The 19,731-nt window shown below is 57.3% G+C and overlaps 2 protein-coding genes across 4 annotated transcripts, besides 3 other annotated features; one reads left to right on the forward strand and one right to left on the reverse strand.

The window, feature by feature from the left end:
• Positions 1,745-8,917, reverse strand: USH1G (USH1 protein network component sans). 3 transcript variants are annotated; one of them, NM_001282489.3, is made up of 3 exons: positions 8,572-8,917; positions 5,116-6,280; positions 1,745-3,738 (listed from the first exon to the last, which is right to left on the reverse strand). In NM_001282489.3, the coding sequence occupies exons 2-3, from the start codon at positions 6,186-6,188 to the stop codon at positions 3,735-3,737; spliced, it is 1,077 nt and encodes a 358-aa protein (NP_001269418.1). In that variant the 5' UTR covers positions 6,189-6,280; positions 8,572-8,917; the 3' UTR covers positions 1,745-3,734. The 3 variants fall into 3 exon arrangements, with proteins under 3 accessions (NP_001269418.1, NP_775748.2, XP_011522598.1); NM_173477.5 differs by having other exon boundaries at positions 5,116-6,333; XM_011524296.2 differs by lacking the exon at positions 8,572-8,917 and adding an exon at positions 8,238-8,564 and having other exon boundaries at positions 5,116-6,333.
• Positions 5,182-5,231: an enhancer, noted in NCBI's record as "active region_12722". NCBI's record gives its function as "activates an Ori minimal core promoter by ATAC-STARR-seq in GM12878 lymphoblastoid cells {active_cell/tissue: GM12878}" and the evidence as "EXISTENCE:reporter gene assay evidence [ECO:0000049][PMID:35858748]".
• Positions 9,871-10,054: a silencer, noted in NCBI's record as "fragment chr17:72920304-72920487 (GRCh37/hg19 assembly coordinates)". NCBI's record gives its function as "represses an EF-1alpha promoter that drives an FKBP-Casp9 reporter gene in an ReSE screen in HepG2 liver carcinoma cells {active_cell/tissue: HepG2}" and the evidence as "EXISTENCE:reporter gene assay evidence [ECO:0000049][PMID:32094911]".
• On the forward strand, positions 9,935-19,574 carry OTOP2 (otopetrin 2). The gene is made up of 7 exons (NM_178160.3): positions 9,935-9,995; positions 10,262-10,607; positions 11,218-11,354; positions 12,885-12,943; positions 13,327-13,460; positions 15,941-16,815; positions 19,037-19,574. Exons 2-7 carry the CDS (start codon positions 10,295-10,297, stop codon positions 19,205-19,207), a joined length of 1,689 nt encoding a protein of 562 aa, NP_835454.1. The 5' UTR covers positions 9,935-9,995; positions 10,262-10,294; the 3' UTR covers positions 19,208-19,574.
• Positions 17,116-17,410: an enhancer, noted in NCBI's record as "tiled region #12431; HepG2 Activating non-DNase unmatched - State 21:Repr, and K562 Activating DNase matched - State 5:Enh". NCBI's record gives its function as "activates a minimal TATA promoter and a strong SV40 promoter by Sharpr-MPRA in HepG2 and K562 cells {active_cell/tissue: HepG2 | K562}" and the evidence as "EXISTENCE:reporter gene assay evidence [ECO:0000049][PMID:27701403]".

Genomic DNA, 19,731 nt, shown 5'->3' on the forward strand with positions numbered 1-19,731 from the left:
CATCAGAAGGAACAAACTCCGGACATGCTGCCTTTAAGAATTGTAACACTTACCGTGAGGGTCTGCAGCTTCGTTCTTTAAGTCAGTGAGACCAAGAACCCACCAATTTCGCATACACTGGGACCACAAGTGCACACCACCAACCAGGTTAATTTTTAAATGTTTTGTAGAGATAGGGTCTTGCCACGTTGCCCAGGCTGGTCTGGAACTTCTGGGTTCAAACAATCCACTCACCTCTACCTCCCAAAGTGCTAAAACGTCCCTTTTTTTTTTTTTTTTTTTTTTTGAGACGGAGTCTCGCTCTGTCGCCCAGGCTGGAGTGCAGTGGCGCAATCTCGGCTCACTGCAAGCTCTGCCTCCCGGGTTCACACCATTCTCCTGCCTCAGCCTCCCAAGTAGCTGGGACTACAGGCGCCCACCACCACGTCAGGCTAATTTTTTGTATTTTTAGTAGAGACAGAGTTTCACCATGTTAGCCAGGATGGTTTCGATCTCCTGACCTCGTAAATGTCCCTATTCTTGATCTAAATCTTTAGGGAAATGAGTCATGAAAGTTGAGCCCCTACCATGTAATATTTTCTCCTCTTTGCTTGTGTTGAACATCCCCACAGGCTCCCTGGAGCAGCTCCTGCTCCTGGCACCCCAGGCTTCTGCCCTGGAGCCACACTGACCCATGGAGCCCCTCATCCTGCTGCCTCTGGTTCATCTCTGCTGGGATGCCAAAGTGCCCCTCGGCTCTCTGTCTTGTCATTCCTCACCCGTGTCCTCTTCTGGACCATCGCGGCAAGGACCAGTGAGTCTTTCCTGAGGTGGGTGCAGTGACCAGGATGGCCAAAGAAGCCGCAGGGAGGTGCGCCCCCAGGGCATGGCTGGTGGAATCCTGTTGTGTTAGCGCCCTTGGCAGCCTGAGTGTGAGGAGAGCATGGCAGCAGCCAGAGACCCGCGTTCTGGGTCTGACTCTTCCCCTCTGTGGGCCTCAGTTTTTCCATCTGTAAAGTGGAGGGAGGTGGCTTGGAACCCCTGGATGGTTGCTAGGCAACCTTCCTGCACCAACATCCTGGGGACCTTTCTGATTGATGCTGAGGGAAGGGAACTGTCTTGAACTCCCTTTGGCAGAAGAAACTGGCCCAGCAGCTTAGGCAATGGAGCAAGATGACTCCAGGGCCCTTCCTCAGACCTGACTGAGAAAACAGAGCCCACTAGGCACCAGCTTATGGAGGAGACTCACCCCTGGGAGAAAGCAGGGCTTCAAATCAGGCTGCCCACGAGCTGCCTGCGGTGATGAGGGACATGGAGACCCCTCTGGGCCTCTGGAGGGCCCTCATGGAGACCCCTCCAGAGGCCCAGAGCCCAGGTGACAGGCAGCAGCCTCCTGGAGTATGTTTCTGCCCATCTCTGGAAAAACCCAGGTAGGCACTGGTGGGAAGAGAGAACATGCATCCTCCTGCCCTCCGTAGCTGCAGGCCCTGGCAACAAGCCTGGAGGCTCAGCCATCCTCCTTGCTCAGGGGGACTCTCCTGCCCTAGTTCTCAGCCCTGCCTCTCCACCAGCTCCTAATTCTGGGCTGAGCTAGGAGAGCAGGTAAAGGCCTAGGGATCCCTGCAAAGATGCACAGCATGGGGTCTCGAAGACACTCCAGAGAATAGGACCCAGTCCTCACAAGCGCAGAGCAGACCCCCTCCCGCCCCCACCCCCACCCTTCCACTCTTCACTCTATCCCCAAAGCATTAAAGGACAAGACAGGTACGATACTGATAGAGAACATTCTCTACAAAAGTGGCAATGAGCCTGCAGGAGGGATTCGGGGTACAGTGGTGGGAGCACAGAGCCTGCTCCACCCCAGCACCAGAAGAACCAGGAGGGGCTGCGGCAGTAAACGGACGAGGAACAGGAGAGAAGGGGCAGCACCTGGGGCTCTGGGAGAAACAAGTCGGCACTTGGGGGTGGCCCCAGGCTCAGGCCCAGAGAACAGGGAGAAGAGCTGTGGTGGGCTCCAGATGGCGGTGGCAGGCAGCCAAGCCCTCAGTGTCCTGCAGTAGGACAGGGACCATCTCCTCCATGCCCCCTACTCTGGGCACATGTGTGGGAATGGGAACCCCCAGACAGACCAGAAAGAGGCCTTTGAGGGCTCTCTTTCCCCTGCCCCAGCCATGGGGGCCCCAGGAGATGCTGGGGGCTGAGGCCATGCTCCCAGCAGGAGCTGCTTCCCAAGCTGAGGTCAGGGATGGGGGGCCATGGCTGAGAAAGGAGGAGAGCACCTCTGCATGGGGTGCAAAGGGGCGCACACGTGTCAGCGGGCTCATCAGGGACTCTCCCACATCTGTGACCTCAGTCTGGCTGGAGAGCTTTGGGGGCATACGTCAGAGGACACATGCTGTGACCACCCTCTGAGCTGGCCTTTCCCCTGGTCTCACCACCATCAGAGGGCTGGGACACAGGTGAGCTCTCTTACCCCCGATCCACGCAGAATCACGCAACAGCCCAGTCCCTACCAGACCTGGAGGGAAACCTACCAAACACCACCCAACGTGAGTGTGCACACACGCACACATGCACACACACACACATGCATGCACACACACACATGCACACACATGCATGCACACACACAAACACGCACGCGTTCACGTGCACACACACGCACACATGTATGCAAGAACACACACACCCAAGCACACACCCGTGCTCACACATACCACATACTTACACACACATGCATGCACACACGCATACATGCACACAAACATGCACACGCACACAGCCCTGGTGACCTGGGGACAATCTGCAGTTTAGAGGATCCACTTTCTCCAGTGTCCACATCGCAGGACTTACCCACCCCAGGCCTGACACCCAGCCACACCCTGTTCTGCCTGTCCCAGGCCTGGGAGACTGAGGAGGTTGGCGGACACCTTTCTCTAGCCCAGCGCATGCCTGCCAGGCCTGGGGGCTATAATACTGCAGCCCATTGGTCTAGCACCTTGCATCTAGCGCCCTGGCCCTCTGGGGTCCCTGGGGGGCCAGGCTGCACAACGAAAAAGGGGGAGGTTGGAGGAAGACAGGCCAGGCTCCACCCCTGGATGAGCTGGGAAGGGCGTCAGTACCCCCACCCCACCCCAACCCGGCTTTCCAGCTCCGGGCCTTGACCACTAGGTGAAGGAGGGGGAGCTGGCTATGCTTGGGATGGGGTACAGACTGAAAGTTGGGGCATTTGGCTGAAGAGTCTGGCTGAGGAACTTCCCCTCTGGGGTGGACGGGAGGAGGGGAGGCAGCCCAAACTCTTCCCTTCACAACAATGCAGGAAGTGAGCAAGTCTCTGGCCTGAGCACAAGAGAACAAGACCATCAGGGGAGGGGTGGGAGAGGCCACGGCGCCCGGGACAGGTGCACCCTCCCGCATCCACCTCCCACACTCTCATCCAGTTCCGATGCCCCTGCCCTCCCTCTGGGGCAGGCCTCCCCCAAGTCTACATGTCCTTTACGGCTGCTCAGAATGGGTGGCTCAGGGCCTTCAAGACCCCTCAGAACTGGAGTTCCGGAACATTCTCTTGCCCCTCTGGTGCCTCCAGGCCACACCCTCAGCTTCAAGGTGCAGACAGACTTTCAAAGGAGTCGCCCCAACTGGTCCTTGCTCCTGGGGAAGGGGGCTGCAGGGCTGGCAACTGTGAGGACCTCGAGACCCCACCATAGGTTGTGGCAACTTGCAATTCATTTTGGTCTGGGGAGAGGAGCCCCCGGTTATCTGTGGAGGAAGAGACAGAAAGAAACAGATCTCACATGAGGCCCTCCAGAGGCATCATTTTCACCCAGGGCAGCCATCTGGACAACTTAGCCTCCCCATCTCTCGGCAGGCCAATTGTCAGGGATGGGGGACGCCAGCCTATGGGTGACCTCCCCATCCCCAAAACTCTGAACCAGCCTGCCTCCCCACACCCATCCCTGCCCCAGCCATTCAGGATAACGGCCATAGATACCTAAGAGGAAATGAGGACAAAGTTTGTTGGGCCTGTGGGATGCCATTGGGGAGGGGCCAGGGCAGGGGCTGGCCACAGCATGACCATTGTGGTGGCAGCCTTGGGCAACTATGACGGCCTTTGGAACATGAACTCTGCCTCCAGGGCTGCTGCTGACCCTCTTGGGAGCATTTGCCCACGTTCCTGATTGCAAAGTTCAGGAACAGTAGGTAAAACATCTCCCTAAGGCCAGGCGCGGTGGCTCACGCCTGTAATCCCAGCACTTTGGGAGGCCAGAGTGGGCAGATCACTTGAGGTCAGGAGTTCGAGACCAGCCTGGCCAACATGGCAAAACCCCATCTCTACTAAAAATACAGAAATTAGCTGGGCATGGTGGTGCACTCCTGTAATCCCAGCTACTCAGGAGGCTGAGGCAGGAGAATCGCTTGAACCCGGGAGGTGGAGGTTACAGTGATTGTGCCACTGCACTCCAGCCTGGATGACAAGAGGGAAACTGTCTCAAAAAAAAAAAAAAAAAAATCTGCCTGAGGTCTTGGGCAATTGAGAGGCCCTGCTGACTGCACGCCCTGCATCCCATGGCAGCCACCTTGACCCCAGGCTCTAAAGCCATGCAGACCAGGGATCAAGCCTAGCTCCATGCTGAGCAGCAGCAGGACCTTGAGGTGAGCTATTCTAACTGTCTGAGCCTCCACTTGCTCATTGGCTGTAAAATGGGAACGATATAATCCACCAATATAGTCCAGCGCACACAGGCTTTTAGAGGGATTAAGCAAGAGGACTTGTTCAAGGGCACAACCCAGCACCTAGGAGGTGGGAGGGCTCAAAAACACCCCAGCTGTGATTCCTGTGACTGTTGAAATTCATTGACATTAAGAGGCCCATTTCCCCACTTGTCGATGTCCCCAGAATCGAGGTGCACTTTCACTGTGATAAGAATGCCTCGGGTCATCATTAAATTGGCCACTTCTTTTTCTGAGCTGGTGGTAAATAAAATAAGGGTGCCTTTTATCATCGATGGCCTCATTTCGATTTTATGAAATACAGTATCCCCCACCCCCTACTCCTGAATAGGCAGATCTGTACCCCCTCCCCAGGGGCCTTCCAACTCCTGCTCCTCCATCCCCCCCGCCAGGCTGGACACTCACAGCTCTGTGTCCTCCAGGGCCGGCGGGCGCTCCATCGCCTGCCGCCGCCTCCTCACGGCCCCCAAGATCTTCTTTCGGGGCCCCAGTGGGACGCTGATGCTGCGGAGGTCGAGGTCAGAGCACAGCATCAAAGCCTCGAGGTCGATCTTCTCCTGCCGCAGGAGGGCGGCAAAGTCCTCCATGTGCAGAGAGGCCAGGAAGGTCTCCAGCGGGCTAGTCTCGGGCTCCAGGTCCTCGTCCAAGCCTAAATCGAGCTCATCCCAGGGCAGCTCCTCCCCACAGCTGCGGTCCTGCAGGCTGTTGGCACTGCCCAGGCTGTCATCGTCCAGGCTGGGGGAGCTCTGCAGCCGACCCCGCGGCGCTCCCACCCCATCCAGACCCCCATCCTCGCGGCCCAGTCCGTGCAGCCCACTGCTCAAGTAATTTCTGCGGAACACCATGGTGCCCAGGCCGGGGCGGGTAAACAGGGAGTCGTGGCCTGAGTCGGTGCTGACCTCCGAGTGGGCAGGCTCGGCCGCCAGCGTGGCACGGGAGACGCTGTCCTCGTCCGAGAGGAACATGTCCCGGAGCGGGGCTCGGCCCCACTCCTTGGGATTGGCGTAGGTGCCCTGGCGCACGAACATCACGTCGCTGCCCAGCTGCAGGCCCGAGAGCGAGCGGGCGCTCTTGCGCCCATCCTCGGAGACCTTGAAGGTGCCTTCGCCGCCCTGCTTGCGCCGCTCCAGCTTCTTCTGCATCTTGGTCTTGCCCCTGGCCGTGCCGTGCAGCGTGGCCTGAGAGTACGGCAGGTGGCTGCCCAGCGCCAGATGCTGCAGCCGGCGGCTCAGGGTGCTGGACGTGAGGCTGGAGAAGCTGAGGGTGTCGGAACGCTCGGCCAGCTCGCGCCGGTATCGCCGCTCCATGCGTTCGTGGTGCCTCCGCTGCAGCTTGGCGCACTCGCGGATGCGCCGCTCCGCCTCGCGGAAGGCCTTGTCCTTCAGCTTACCCACCAGCTTGGGGTTGAGGCTGCTCTGCTTGGCCGCGATGGAGTCCAGGTAGCGCACGCATTCCATGTGGCCCTTCATGGCAGCCATGTCCAGCGGCGTGTGGTAGTCGTTGTCTAGGCACCAGATGTTGGCTCCGAAGGACACCAGGAAGGACAGGCAGTGCAAGTGGCCATTGGAAGCTGCCAGATGCAGGGGTGTGTTGCCCCAGATGTCACACTTGTCCGGGTCACCCCTGCAGGGAAAGCATTCAGGAGGGACGAGTGACGAGTCCTGGCTGGGGATGGAGGTGGAGGGAGTGGAGGGGGGAGGGGAGCTTCCCCACTGTCACAGCAACCCCCAAAGGGACCGTGGGCCTGAGATCTCTCCCACTCCAGGAGACCTGCAGGCCTGAGCCACCCAACAGGTGAGCCCAGGGGTGAGCCCAGGGGAAAATGGCCTCAGGCATGCAGGGGGTGGGGTGACAGAGAAGGCGGGACTGGGGCGGGGCCTTCCCCAAGCTAACTGAGGGCTGGGAATCTCAGGGGATGAATATTTGATGCCCTGAGAGAAGGGAGTAAATTATTGATGGGGCCCAGCACAGAGCTGGCCCAGAGCGCTGGTGGGCCAGGGCCGCGTCTGGGTCTCTAGGCAGGCGTGGTGGTGAGTGTGGCTGCGTGTGCCGAGTGACCGTAAAAGAGAACAGACCAGTGGGTGGTGTGTGCCGGGCCCCAGCCCCGGGTGAGCGTGTGTGAAGTGTGGGCTTGCATGTCAGCAGGCAGGGCCCTGTCTGCAGGGAGCAGGGCCAGCCCTGGCAAGCCCGAGTGTGAGAGGAGGTGTCGGGCCTTGGCCTGGGCGGGGAGGGGAGTGTGGGGGCAGCCAGGACTGGAGGGGAGGAGGAGGGAAATCAGCTGCCCGTGCTCCGAAGCCCTCCCTTCCCTAGGTTGCCCCCTCTTTGGTATCCCTGCAAGGCTGGCTCACTTGAGCCTGTCCAGGGACCCCCGACAGCCCCCACAAGCACCCTTCACACCAGACGGGTGTCCCCCAGGGCAAGCTCCCAAGACTCCTCCGGAGCTCTCCCTCCCTTGGGGGCCCAGCACAGCACCCCTGCCCTGCACTAATGAGGCCACAAGGCCAACCCCCAGGGCTGGGGGAAGAATCACTCCCTTGTCTCAACAGCTCCCCACACACCCCTTCCTGGGCCTCCCCTCCTGGCCGCCAAGTCCTGCAGGCCAGTGTGGGAAGGACCTGCCAGCACCCAACCCACAACCCATCAAACACCAATCCTGGTCTCTGGAGGAGTTGGGGCTTGGTGTACCCAAGGGGAGCCCTCTTCCCCTCCTCTCATGAGCCTCTCTGAAGGGATGGCAGGGACAGTGTCACTGTGTGCCCTCCTGGGGTGGGGAAGGGCCAGCCAGCCTTGGCCTCACGGGACATGGTTCAGCTGCCCAGGCTTCAAGGCTGCTCCCACCTGATGCTGGGCCCAAGGAGCAGCCCAAGGAGAGGGCAAGAAGGAGGGGTCTCCAGCACCTACTACATGTTCAGGCACTGGCCAGTACCTGGTACCGGGGCCAGCTAAGCCCCTGGCCCTCTCTCCCATGACCTGAGACTTCATATCAACCTTCCTGGGGTGTCCTGTCCAGGCTGCCCTGATGCCCAGACCAACCTGACTTCTCTTTATAAAGCCACTGGGGCTGAGGGAGTTGGTCACAGTCATTTGACTTTAGCCCCAAGGAACCCATATCAGTGGCTCTGGTCCTGGAGGTGGCTCAACTGCCACCTCCAGGCCCCTTCCCTGGCACTGACACCTGCACTGTATGCCCACCCCCCCACCCAGGACAACTCCAAAGGGAGGGGGAGGGAAGAGAAGCCCCTTCAGGGTGACCACATCACAGCCTCCACCATTGCTTAGCTGTGCCCGGCTGTGGGGGAGGGACTTGGAGAGAGTTAATGGAGTGGCTGAATCAGTGACATTTGGCGCCCTGGACAGTGTCCATAAATCCCCAAAATGAGCAGGTTGAGGGCAAGCGCTGTGTGACACCAGCCTGCCGGAGAACGTGGGTGCTGGCTGGCAGAGCCCTTTGGATCAAGGCTGGAGAGTGGGCAGTGGAGACCCCTCCCTTTCTAGCCCCCACTGCTGGCCCCTCGAGACTTCCTAACCTTCTCTCCGAGTCTCACTATCCCCTCACTCTTGCTTCCAGGGGGACCCCAGCCAGGGGATCTCTCCCACCTTCCCCTCACTCTGCAGCAACCCCCCATAATCAGGAACCCCCAAATCCCGGTTTCTCCCCTCCTAGCCCCAGATCCAGGTCACAAGTGTTAACAAGTGTCAGATGCCTCCGCTTGGGTCCCCTCAACATGTGTCTCTCCCACAAACGCCAGGGTCTAAGGGTCCGCCTGTCTGCAGGGGAAGGAGGCAGCTCAGAGGAGTGGTGGACGAGGAAGTTTGGGGTGGTCTCAGGGGCCTCAAGGGCACTGGGTGGGGCGTACTCACCCGCGGCTCACAATGAGACGCAGCGACTCGAGGTTGCCATGGTAGGCAGCCCAGAGAGTGGGGGTCATGCCATCCTCGTCGGGGGCATTCAGCTCCTTTCGGGTGGCCTCCTTGAGGAGCTCCAGGTAGCCATCCCGGGCTGCCCGGTGGTACTGGTCGTTCATGGCGCCCGAAGTGGACGGGGCGGGCGGGGGACACGGAGAAAGGCCCCCCGCAGGGGAGGGCGGCGGTATTAGGGCTGAGGCATGAGGTTGGAGGACGGGGCCGGGCAGGGGCCGGGGCCGCCAGCCCCCGCTGCCGCAGACGGAGGGTGCGGAGCGCCAGAGCCGCGACTACCAAGACATCTGAAACGCTCACCCGGGGGCGGGGGCGGAGGGGGCGGGGGACGAAATCTCCCGCTGTCCAGGGAGCCGCCCCCGGTCTTCCCCTGGGTCCTAAACACCCTGCATGCACCTCAATACACGAGGGTGACCCACGCAAGGCCCTGTCCTCCTCTTCAAAAGTGCCCACCCCGGGGCCGCGCACTGTGACGCCCAGTCCGGGGACAGTCAGAGATCTGTCCTCACTAGAGCCTGGGGCGCTGTGGCTCCGTATTTCTCCACCTGTCAGTGGAACGAACCGAGAGCTGGGGAGGGGTGCCGGAGGGCGGGGTGGGGGAGCCGTCCTGAGCCCCAGGACAGTGGACCTAAGAAGGGGCACCGTGACCGACCGCGGTTCGGTCAGCGAGTGGGACGGGCCAGGCCGCCGCCGCCTGAACGGAGTCCCTCGACCGCACTCCAGCAGGGGGCGCTGGAGGACTGGCAGCGGCTCCGCGTGCCGCGTGGAACTTCGCACCCAAGCCCCGGAGTCCAACGGAGCGCGGGCCGGCGGCGGGGGCGGGCAGGGCGGTGGGATAGAGGAAAGGGGAGCTTGGATCACTGCGAGGACCGTGGGGGAGAGGGGAACTGGGGTTGCCATCCCAGGCAGGAGCACAGGAGCACAGGATTCAGGGTGCGCCGCGGCTGGAGGGCGTCAGGGTGCCCGCAGGCTTTTTGGACGTCTCTTGAGCTTAGCTCTCGGGGCTCTGGGCGCCTGGAATGCTGCGCGCCAGGGCGCGGTGGGCACCAGGGGCGGGGTGCCCTCTAGGTGCCGCAGTGCGGGGCCGCGCCCGAGCCTGGCCGCACCGGGGTGACGGAGTGGGGTCGCCTCTCAAAGGGTAAATATGAATCTTGCCTTATCTGGCTCCAGCGGGCTCTTCCCTAAATTCACCTTGGAGAAAGATGGATCATGTGAGCGGGACTGAGAGCTTTATGGAGCCAAACTCCCGCAGCTGTAAATCACCCTGTCCTCCTGGGTATAAAGCGCCTGTCCATCTCGGCGTGGGAGAGAGGAGACGCTCGCCGTCCCCTGACCCCCAGCTCAGCGCCGGCTCCAAGCCCAGCCAGGTGGGTGCCCCGGGCCGGAGGGCAGTCGGACTTGGGGAGTGGGGACCTTGGAGGGGTCCAACCGGGTGCTGCCGCTTCTCCTTTCTTCCCATCCAGCGAGAGGGGCAGGTTCCGCATTTTCTCTTCCCCTTTCCCAGCGCTTCCTCCAGCACCCGAAGCCCCAACCCTGCGGGTCAGGAACTCCCTAGTCCCCAAGTCTAGGGATGAGATGGGGGAAGGAGAGCCGTCAGGGTTGACCTGGAGTTTTGTCCGCTCCTCCCCTACAGTGATCCCTCTAGCCTTCTCCAGTCGCCTCCGCCATGTCCGAGGAGCTGGCCCAGGGCCCCAAGGAGAGCCCCCCGGCGCCGCGTGCGGGCCCCAGGGAGGTGTGGAAGAAGGGTGGCCGCCTGCTGTCGGTGCTGCTGGCGGTGAACGTGCTGCTCCTCGCCTGCACGCTCATCAGCGGCGGAGCCTTCAACAAGGTGGCCGTGTACGACACCGACGTGTTCGCGCTGCTCACTGCGATGATGCTGCTGGCAACGCTCTGGATCCTCTTCTACCTCCTCCGAACCGTGCGCTGCCCCTGCGCGGTACCCTACCGGGACGCGCACGCTGGCCCCATCTGGCTCCGAGGTGCCAGGGGAGGTGGGGGCGAGGTAGGGTGGGCACAACAGGGAGCTGCAGGCTAGGGCTCTCGCAGGAGTTGCAGAGTGCAGATTGACATACGAGGGCGAGAGGCTCCCTAGGGAGGACCAGGAGGACCGGAGGGTGAAGTGGGCTGCAGTTAGGGAAAAAGAGGAAGGTAAGGGGTCCTGGGGGAGGGATGAATAGAGGGATGGAAGGGGACCTCTTTGCCCCCGGTCTGAAGATTAGAGAAGGCTGGCTGAGGGAGGGCCTTTGATGGAGAGCAGGAACCAGAAGATGGCAGCCACTGAAAGAGCTCAGCCAGGGCCCTTTGCGGTATCCACACAGCCCCAAAGAGAGGGGGGCTTGGTAGCAGGTCCATCCATCCACCCACTCAGTCATACACTCACCCTTCCATCCACCCATTCACCTTTCAGTCTGTCTATCCACCTATCCACCTGTCCTCCCACCCTCCCCATTGATCCATCCAACAGTGCACTCACTCACCCATCCACCCACCCATCTAGCCTCCCATCCTCAGGGCCTGTCCTCAGCTCGGCAGGCCTTCTCTCCTGCCTCTTTGATCCACCACCACCACCCACCCACCCCTGGTTTCCAGGTGGGCTGGTGCTGTTTGGAATCTGCACCCTCATCATGGATGTCTTCAAGACCGGCTACTACTCCAGTTTCTTTGAGTGCCAGTCAGCCATCAAGATCCTGCACCCCCTCATCCAGGCTGTGTTTGTCATCATCCAGGTGGGTGGAGGAGTGTCGCTGTGTGGAAGAAAGGAGCTAACACTTGGCCATTGGGAAGGACCCAACAAGGGGTCGGAGACCTGAGCTCCATCCGCCTCGTATCCTGAGCTATTAAGTAAACCAGGGACAGGGCTGTAGAGAGCATCACAGGAGTCCATCAATGTGGAAACGCCTCATAATGAAGTAACATCCCAACGTGAGCTCCCACTTGGAGCTCTGCAATGTTATTTCAACCTAAGCAGTGCCAGTAGTTAACACCTAGGAGGTGTGAGTTGTGCCAGCCAGCCCTGTCTCCTAGAACCTGGCCTGCCCTTCTTGGGTGCCCGTAGGGGGCTTCTGTGTCAGCCCAGGCTCCTGCCAGCTTGGTCCCTCTGTGCTGTATTTGTTTGGAAAGTAGGGTAGCCTGTAACTGGGATTTCTCAAACATTCACTTTGTAGTTGTTGTTGCATAAACAATACTTTGAAAGATCTTCTGATTGAGCTGAGACAGGACTGGGCTTAGATGGGATCAGAACAGCCCCCAGCCCTCTATCATGACCAAAATGGCACCATGGATGATGCCCTCCCCAGAAACATCACTCCTGCTGCCCAGGTTTTCACAGTTCAGCACACATGTGGCTGTGGCATTTATGTAGTTTTAGTCTTTCGTATTTTATGGGTTTGAAGAATACTCAGGTAAAATGAAAATATAGATATCCCCACATCACCAAATGCCATAGCAGGGATTCACAGGCAGCCAGATGGTAGCAAGGCCTGGTACGGTGACAGAGGAAGAGGATGAGCAGGGGATGTTGTCAAATGAAGGTGAGAAGTCCACAGAGACTCCTTCCACCCTGAGCAAGACCTAACCTGAGGCTGGCCTTGCTCCCAGAAAAAAAAAAAAACTAGATAGTCAAAAATCTACTTGACCCCCATCTCCACACAAAGTAAACCCCACCACGAGCAGGGTTTTACATGTGACGTTTTGCAAACCTTTAAAGAATGGAGAACCACTATTTTATACAAACTGTGTCAGAATAGAAAAAGACAGTGCTCCCCACCTAATTTTTTTTTCTTTTTTCTTTTCTTTTCCTTTTTTTTTTTTCGAGATGGAGTCTCACTCTATCGCCCAGGCTGGAGTGCAGTGGCACGATCTCGGCTGCAACCTCTGCCTCCTGGGTTCAAGCGATTCTCCTGCCTCAGCCTCCCAAGTAGCTGGGATTACAGGTGCATGCCACCATGCCCAGATAATTTTTTGTGCGTTTTTAGTACAGATGGGGTTTAATAGAGATGGGGTTTTACCATGTTGGCCAGGCTGGTCTCAAGCTCTTGACCTCAAGTGATCCACCTGCCTCAGCCTCCCAAAGTGCTGGGATTACAGGCGTGAGCCACTGCACCCAGCCTCCACCTCATTTTGTGAAGCTAAAATGAACCTGATAACTCAGTGTAAGGGTTCCTCAGGCGGAGAGAACAAGATGGCATGGACTTGGGTGCGCTGGAGTTTTGTCCATCTATGGAGTAAATGACTCTCACCAATGTCTCTCCATACAGACCTACTTTCTCTGGGTCTCTGCTAAAGACTGCGTTCACGTCCACCTGGATCTGACCTGGTGAGAACTGCAGCTCGATGCCTGTACCCAGCGTGCTGGTGTTCACCTTGCAGGAGAGATTCAGGCTTTCCACCCTGGGGCAGGGCCTCTCTTTATGTCCCCTGGGTGGGGTTGCAGCCAAGCCCTCCTTGCTTTGTCAGGCTGACTTCCACTACCTTGTGGGGCCCTTTCTCCCAGGGGAGGGAGTGGTGGTGGCCCCCGGGAAAACCTCCTAGCCCTCTCTTTGGTGGCATACCAGCCAGGCTGTGTTCCTACCAAAATCAGCTTCCCTGTTCACACAGGGCCTGGCTGCTTTATCATTTCTCAACACCAGCTCTCAGTATTGCTCCCCAACCTGCCAAAGGGTCACAGGCCTCTTTGTCCCCACCCCTGACCCCAAACAGGTGTGGTCTCATGTTCACACTCACCACCAACCTGGCCATCTGGATGGCGGCCGTGGTGGATGAATCTGTGCACCAATCCCACTCCTACAGCAGTTCTCACAGCAACGCCAGCCACGCCCGTCTCATCTCTGACCGTGAGTTTCCTCTTAATGCTGGCCCTGTGGCTACCAGGCCTTGGGCCGGGTGCTTTGTGAATTTATAACGTCAGTCTCCTGTGCCCTCATGAGGGCATAGAGGCAAAGGACAGAGCCAGGGTCCTCCTCCTGTTGCAGGATCTACCTCTGCAGTATAGGTGTAGGTGACCCCAGAAGGGAAGTATCAGGGGTACCCTTTTATCCTTGAGGCTGCAGCCCAGGCCCCCCTGTCCAGTCTCCATCCCACCAAGAAGGGACCCAGGACCAGGTGCAGTGGCTCATGCTTGTAATCCTAGCACTTTGGAAGGCTAAGGCAGACCAATTGCTTGAGCTCAGGAGTTCAAGACCACCCTAGGCCAAATGATGAAACCCCGTCTCTACAAAAAATACAAAAAAATAGCCCATTGTGGTGGTGCATGCCTGTGGTCCCAGCTACTATGGGAGGCTGAGGAGGGAGGATTGCTTGAGCCTGGGAGGTCGAGACTGCAGTGAGCTGTGATTGCACCATTGCACTCCAACCTCGGTGACAGAGTGAGACCCTGTTTCAAAAATTAAAAAAAAAGAGACCCAGACCCAGAATCCAGGAAGAAAGGGCAAGAGTGATCAAGCTGGGAAAAGGAGAAGGGAGGCAGAGTGGTTCTGTGGTGCAAGCATGGATCAGATGGGAGAGCCCGGGAAGGAGGAGAAGGTGAGAAATAATCATGGCATCACAATGGTAAGGGTGGCAATTTACTGAGGTCTGTATGTCAGGCACTGTGCTGAGTGTCTTAAACACTCCATTTAACCCTCAACACTTCCCTGTGAAATAGGTACTCTCCCCATTCCCATGCATAGGTGCAGAAACTAAGGCAGAGAGAGCTTAAGTAGCTCACCCAAGATCTAGCACTAGCATTCATATGCATCTTTGTTTTTAAACAATATGCTAAACTAAGGAGGAACGGGATCCAGTCTCCAGTCCTCATTCTCTGGACTTCTCTAGGGTCCCCCAATAGCCAGGACCAGACAAGATAACTAAGACATGCACGCTCCTAGCATGGGAGGGTCCGGCAACAGAAAGCATGGCCCCTGCCCTCAGGGAGACCCCAGCCCAGCAAGCCTTACAAAGAACCACCCTGCACAGAGAGGACTCCTGAGGGTGCAAAACCAAACCAGGGAGGTGATGGACTTCACATGGGGGCCTGCAGGCTGGAGAGAGGCCTGTCAGAGAAGTACCTGTCCCGGGGTCAGAAGTCAGGCAGTTGGCGTTGACTCTGCCCTTACAAGTCACATCACCACGTTAAGCCTCAGTTTCTTCATCTGCAAAACCAGCTGGGCTAGTTCTTAGGATGAAAAGAGACGTTTGCCAAGGCCCAGAGTATCCTACAAACACATTCTGGAATCAAGTCAAGACTCCTTTCCATGTGGTACAAACAGAAGTAACGGGAGGTCATGGTGGAGACTTGGGCACAGCAGCTGGCTTTCTGGGCTGAATCAGATGGTAGGGAGAGCTGTGAGGAAGCCTGAACTTTAGAGGTTCCCAAGAGAGCCACTTTCTATCTCAGGGAGCCAGGGCAGAAAGGGATGGAAGGAATGGAGTGGGGTGAAGTGAGCAGTCCTGTGGTTCAAACTGTTTTGTTTTTTTGTTTGTTTGTTTGTTTGTTTGTTTGAGACAGAGTCTTGCTCTGTCACCCAGGCTGGAGTGCAGTGGCGCGATCTCGGCTCACTGCAACCTCTGCCTCCTGGGTTCAAGCAATTCTCCTGCCTCAACCTCCCGTGTAGCTGGGACTACAGGTGCATGCCACCAAGCCCAGCTAATTTTTGTATTTTTAGTAGAGACAGGATTTCACCGTGTTGGCCAGGCTGGCCTCAAACTCCTGACCTCAGGTGATCCACCCACCTTGGCCTCCCAAAGTGTTGGGATTACAGGTGTGAGCCACTGCACCTGGCCTGGACTGTTCTTACTGAGCACTGATGTGTCCCAGTCTCTGGCACACAGTAGGTGCTCAAGAAATATTTGTGAAGTGAAGGAGTGTGCCACGCCCTGTAAAGGCATGAGGGATACCGTGGTGAATATAGCAGTCATGACAGACAGGGAGCCTGCCCTTAACAAAGGTCACAAGCTAGGCTGGGCGTGGTGGCTCACGCCTGTAATCCCAGCATTTTGGGAGGCCGAGGCAAGCAGATCACCTGAGGTCAGGAGTTCAAGACCAGCCTGGCCAACATGGCGAAACCCTGTCTCTACTAAAAATATAAAAATTAGCCAGGTGTGATGACAGGTGCCTGTAATCCCAGCTACTTGGGAGGCTGAGGCAGGAGAATGGCTTGAATCCGGGAGGTGAAGCTTGCAGTGAGCCAAGATCACACCATTGCACTCCAGCCTGAGCATCAAGAGTGAAACTCCGTCTCAAAACAAAACAAAAAAAAAAAGGTCACAGGCTAGGGGTGAGACCTCTCTAGGAAGGCAGGAGGGCTGTCCAGCCCTGTGTCTCTCTCCACAACAGAGCATGCAGACAACCCGGTCGGAGGAGACTCCTGCCTCTGCAGCACGGCCGTCTGCCAGATCTTCCAGCAGGGGTACTTCTACCTATATCCCTTCAACATCGAGTACAGCCTCTTCGCCTCCACCATGCTGTATGTCATGTGGAAGAATGTGGGTAGATTCCTGGCCTCCACCCCTGGCCACAGCCACACCCCAACCCCTGTCAGCCTCTTCCGGGAGACCTTTTTTGCTGGCCCGGTTCTGGGCCTGCTGCTCTTCGTGGTGGGGCTGGCTGTCTTCATCATCTACGAGGTTCAAGTGAGCGGGGACGGGAGCCGCACCAGGCAGGCCCTGGTCATCTACTACAGCTTCAACATTGTCTGCTTGGGACTCACCACCTTGGTCAGCCTGAGCGGCTCCATCATCTACCGTTTTGACCGCCGGGCCATGGACCACCATAAGAACCCCACGCGCACTCTGGACGTGGCCCTGCTGATGGGTGCCGCCCTGGGTCAGTACGCCATCTCTTACTACTCCATCGTGGCTGTGGTGGCGGGCACACCCCAGGACCTGCTGGCAGGGCTCAACCTCACCCATGCACTGCTCATGATCGCCCAGCACACCTTCCAGAACATGTTTATCATCGAGAGCCTTCACCGAGGACCGCCCGGGGCTGAGCCTCACAGTACCCACCCCAAGGAGCCCTGCCAAGACCTCACCTTCACCAACCTGGATGCCCTCCACACGTTGTCCGCCTGCCCACCCAACCCCGGGCTGGTTAGCCCCAGCCCTTCAGACCAGCGGGAAGCAGTGGCCATCGTCTCAACCCCCAGAAGCCAGTGGAGACGCCAGTGCCTAAAAGACATTTCTCTGTTTCTCCTACTCTGCAATGTCATTGTGAGTAGCTGGGGGGAGAAAGGGTGGGCTTGGGAGAAGAGACTGAGGAAGGATGCTCTTGCAGGCTTAAGCCCTTAGCCTTCTCTGTCTTGCCCCCAGCCCGCCTGAGAATCTTACAGCTCTCTAGGAAAGGAGCAGGTTCAGAGGGGGCCAGCTGTAGCTTTGGGGCAAATGGCATCTCAGGGCACACAGAGAAAATGAAATCCTAGCGTTCTGGCATCTAAGCAGCAGATGGAGCTGGAAGGGTCCCAGGGAAGGTTGACACAGGGGCTGGGCAGAGGTGAGAGGGAGCTGAGAGCTGATGTGGAAGGCGGGGTCCTCACCCCCCAGTGGGAGGTGTGACTGCTCCTGGGAACTTGTGATCTGCCTGCTTCTCAGAATAATTGGAACAGTGTCAGGAAGTAGCGGAGACCAGTGTTAAGTGTGAGCGGTCTGTTAGCAGAGTGAACTGGGAAGGAGGGCATCTACAACAGCCACCCCCTCCCTAGTGACTCAGCAAAGATTAAGAACAACAGACTTGGCCGGGTGCAGTGGCTCACGCCTGTAATCCCAGCACTTTGGGAGGCCGAGGCAGGCAGATCACAAGGTCAGGAGTTCGAGACCAGCCTGGCCAACAGGGTGAAACCCTGTCTCCACTAAAAATACAAAAATTAGCCAGGCGTGGTAGTGTGCGCACCCTATAATCTCAGCTACTTGGGAGGTTGAGGCAAGGGAATTGTTTGAACCCAGGAGGCGGAGGTTGCAGTGAGCTGAGATTGCACCATTGCACTCCAGCCTGTGCAACAGAGTGACACTCTGTCAAAAAAAAAAAAAAAAAAAAAGCAATAGACTTCACCCAATACAAATATATTCTCTGTATAGAAGTACCCCAGGGCAGAAACACTGGTAATGAAAGTGCATACCAATAGGAAAACACTCCTGGTGTTTCTAGTACAACCCAAGACAGAAATGGCCCAGTGGGGGCTTATTATTACCTCTGATATAGAAACATGTACCTATGTGGGTACATCTCAAAGAGAAAAAAACAATTCTAATGAAGTTTCACTCAATAGAAAAACAATCCTTCCAGCTAGAACCTCCAATAGAAAAATATCCCTAATATAGAAAATTACTTAATGTGGGTATATCCCAGGACAGAGCAAGAGCCCCAGAGTGAATTCTACCCCATGAAATCCTACCTGCATGAGGTACACCAGTGGCCCTAACTAAGAGTCATTCTTAGTGAGGTCCCACTGTGAAGGGCCATCCACCAGGTCATGGTCCCCATAGATGTGGGATGATGCCACGCAGGAGCCTTCCAACACAATCAATTTCACTTAAAAAAAATGTGGTCATCAATCTCTGACCCTACCAGCAGAATCATTAAGGTCCAGACCTCAGCATGTCTTGGAACGTCTTTGGTACCTGGCCCCCTGCCCTCTGGCCCCACCTCCACCTTCCACCCAGGCCTGGCTTATAGGCTAGGGGCCACCTTCTGGGAGGCTATTCTTGCTCCAGGCATCTGAGCCTAAATCACCTCCAGTAGCATCTTCTCCATCTCCTTCATTTTATAGGACAGAACAGGCTTAGAGGGGACTGCAATGTGCCCAAGGATGAAGTTAATCAGGGGTAGGGGTGGAGCTAGCCTAGAAACCTTTGTTCTTTGCTTCTTACCCACACCTGAATCTTCTGAGCTCCTAGCCAGAGAGGAAGCAGGATTCCAACTTCCACTTCCTCCCACTCCTGGAAAGGGAGAAGGGGATGAGGGGAGAGCTGGAGGGCAGAGCTCAAGGAGGGCTGGGGTGGGGTGGCCTTCTGTCTGAACCCCAAACCCCTGCCTTGAGCCTATCTGATTCTGCCACCCCCACCCCTGTGCACAAAACCCCCCAGGACAGAGCTGCTGATTTCACTGTTTGTACCTCTTCTTCTAGAGAAACCTCTTCTCCCCTCCCCAATCCCACATTGAGGCCCTGCTAAGATTTTGGGAGAGGTGATCACAGGTGTCCATGAGGTGGGCTAGCCTAGGGATGGCGAATTCAGTTGGGCTCACTTCCTGAGCCCCTTAGAGTGTGCTAGGTCCTGTCCAAAATGCTAGAGCTGCCCATTCACTGACACCCAGCCCTCCGTGTCCACCAAGCTAGAAGGATGGGCCGCCATCTAGCCACGGCCCAGCAAAACCCACAGAAATGACCCACAGGCATCCATCCAGGCCAGCTCCTGAAATGCTCCTCTCTCCACACAGCTGTGGATCATGCCTGCCTTCGGGGCCCGCCCTCATTTCAGCAACACAGTGGAGGTGGATTTCTACGGCTACTCCCTCTGGGCGGTCATCGTCAACATCTGCCTCCCTTTCGGCATCTTCTACCGCATGCACGCTGTGTCCAGCCTGCTGGAGGTCTACGTGCTGTCCTGAGGCCTCCAACAGAGGCATGGGGGGCAGGAAGAGGGGGCTCAGCTCATGTGCCCACTCAGACACCCTCTGGGAATGAATCCCAGCTGGTGCCATATGACAGCCCATTTCCTTCTGGTCCCAGAGTGGAATTTTCACAAAAGTTATTTTTCCAGGTTCAATTTTTAAATCACAGTCAGGACAGGCCCATCCACCCCAGTATGACCGTGGGGCATGAGGTGACTGGGGAAGGGAGACCTCTCCTGGCAGCATTTCTAGGACCCAACAAGATCTGGAGGTGCCGGCTCTGGTTCCATCTCTAATCCCCTGCTGTGGCCTGGCCAGTGTACTGCCCGGAGCTGGAAACCAATAAACCTGTGATTTGCCCCCATCCCCACTGTTTGTCTCTGTTGTCCCGTCTGAGGTGGTCACAGGAGAGGATCTTGGGAGTCAGAGCGGGAAGGGCCCCTGGAGATTTTCAGGTCTCAAGTTTTGCAGTGTGTGAGCAAAATCCAAATGACAGACTAGCTACAGGGTGGGTAACTGGA

Source organism: Homo sapiens, chromosome 17, assembly GCF_000001405.40.
Source record: "Homo sapiens chromosome 17, GRCh38.p14 Primary Assembly".
Lineage (NCBI taxonomy): Eukaryota > Metazoa > Chordata > Mammalia > Primates > Hominidae > Homo > Homo sapiens.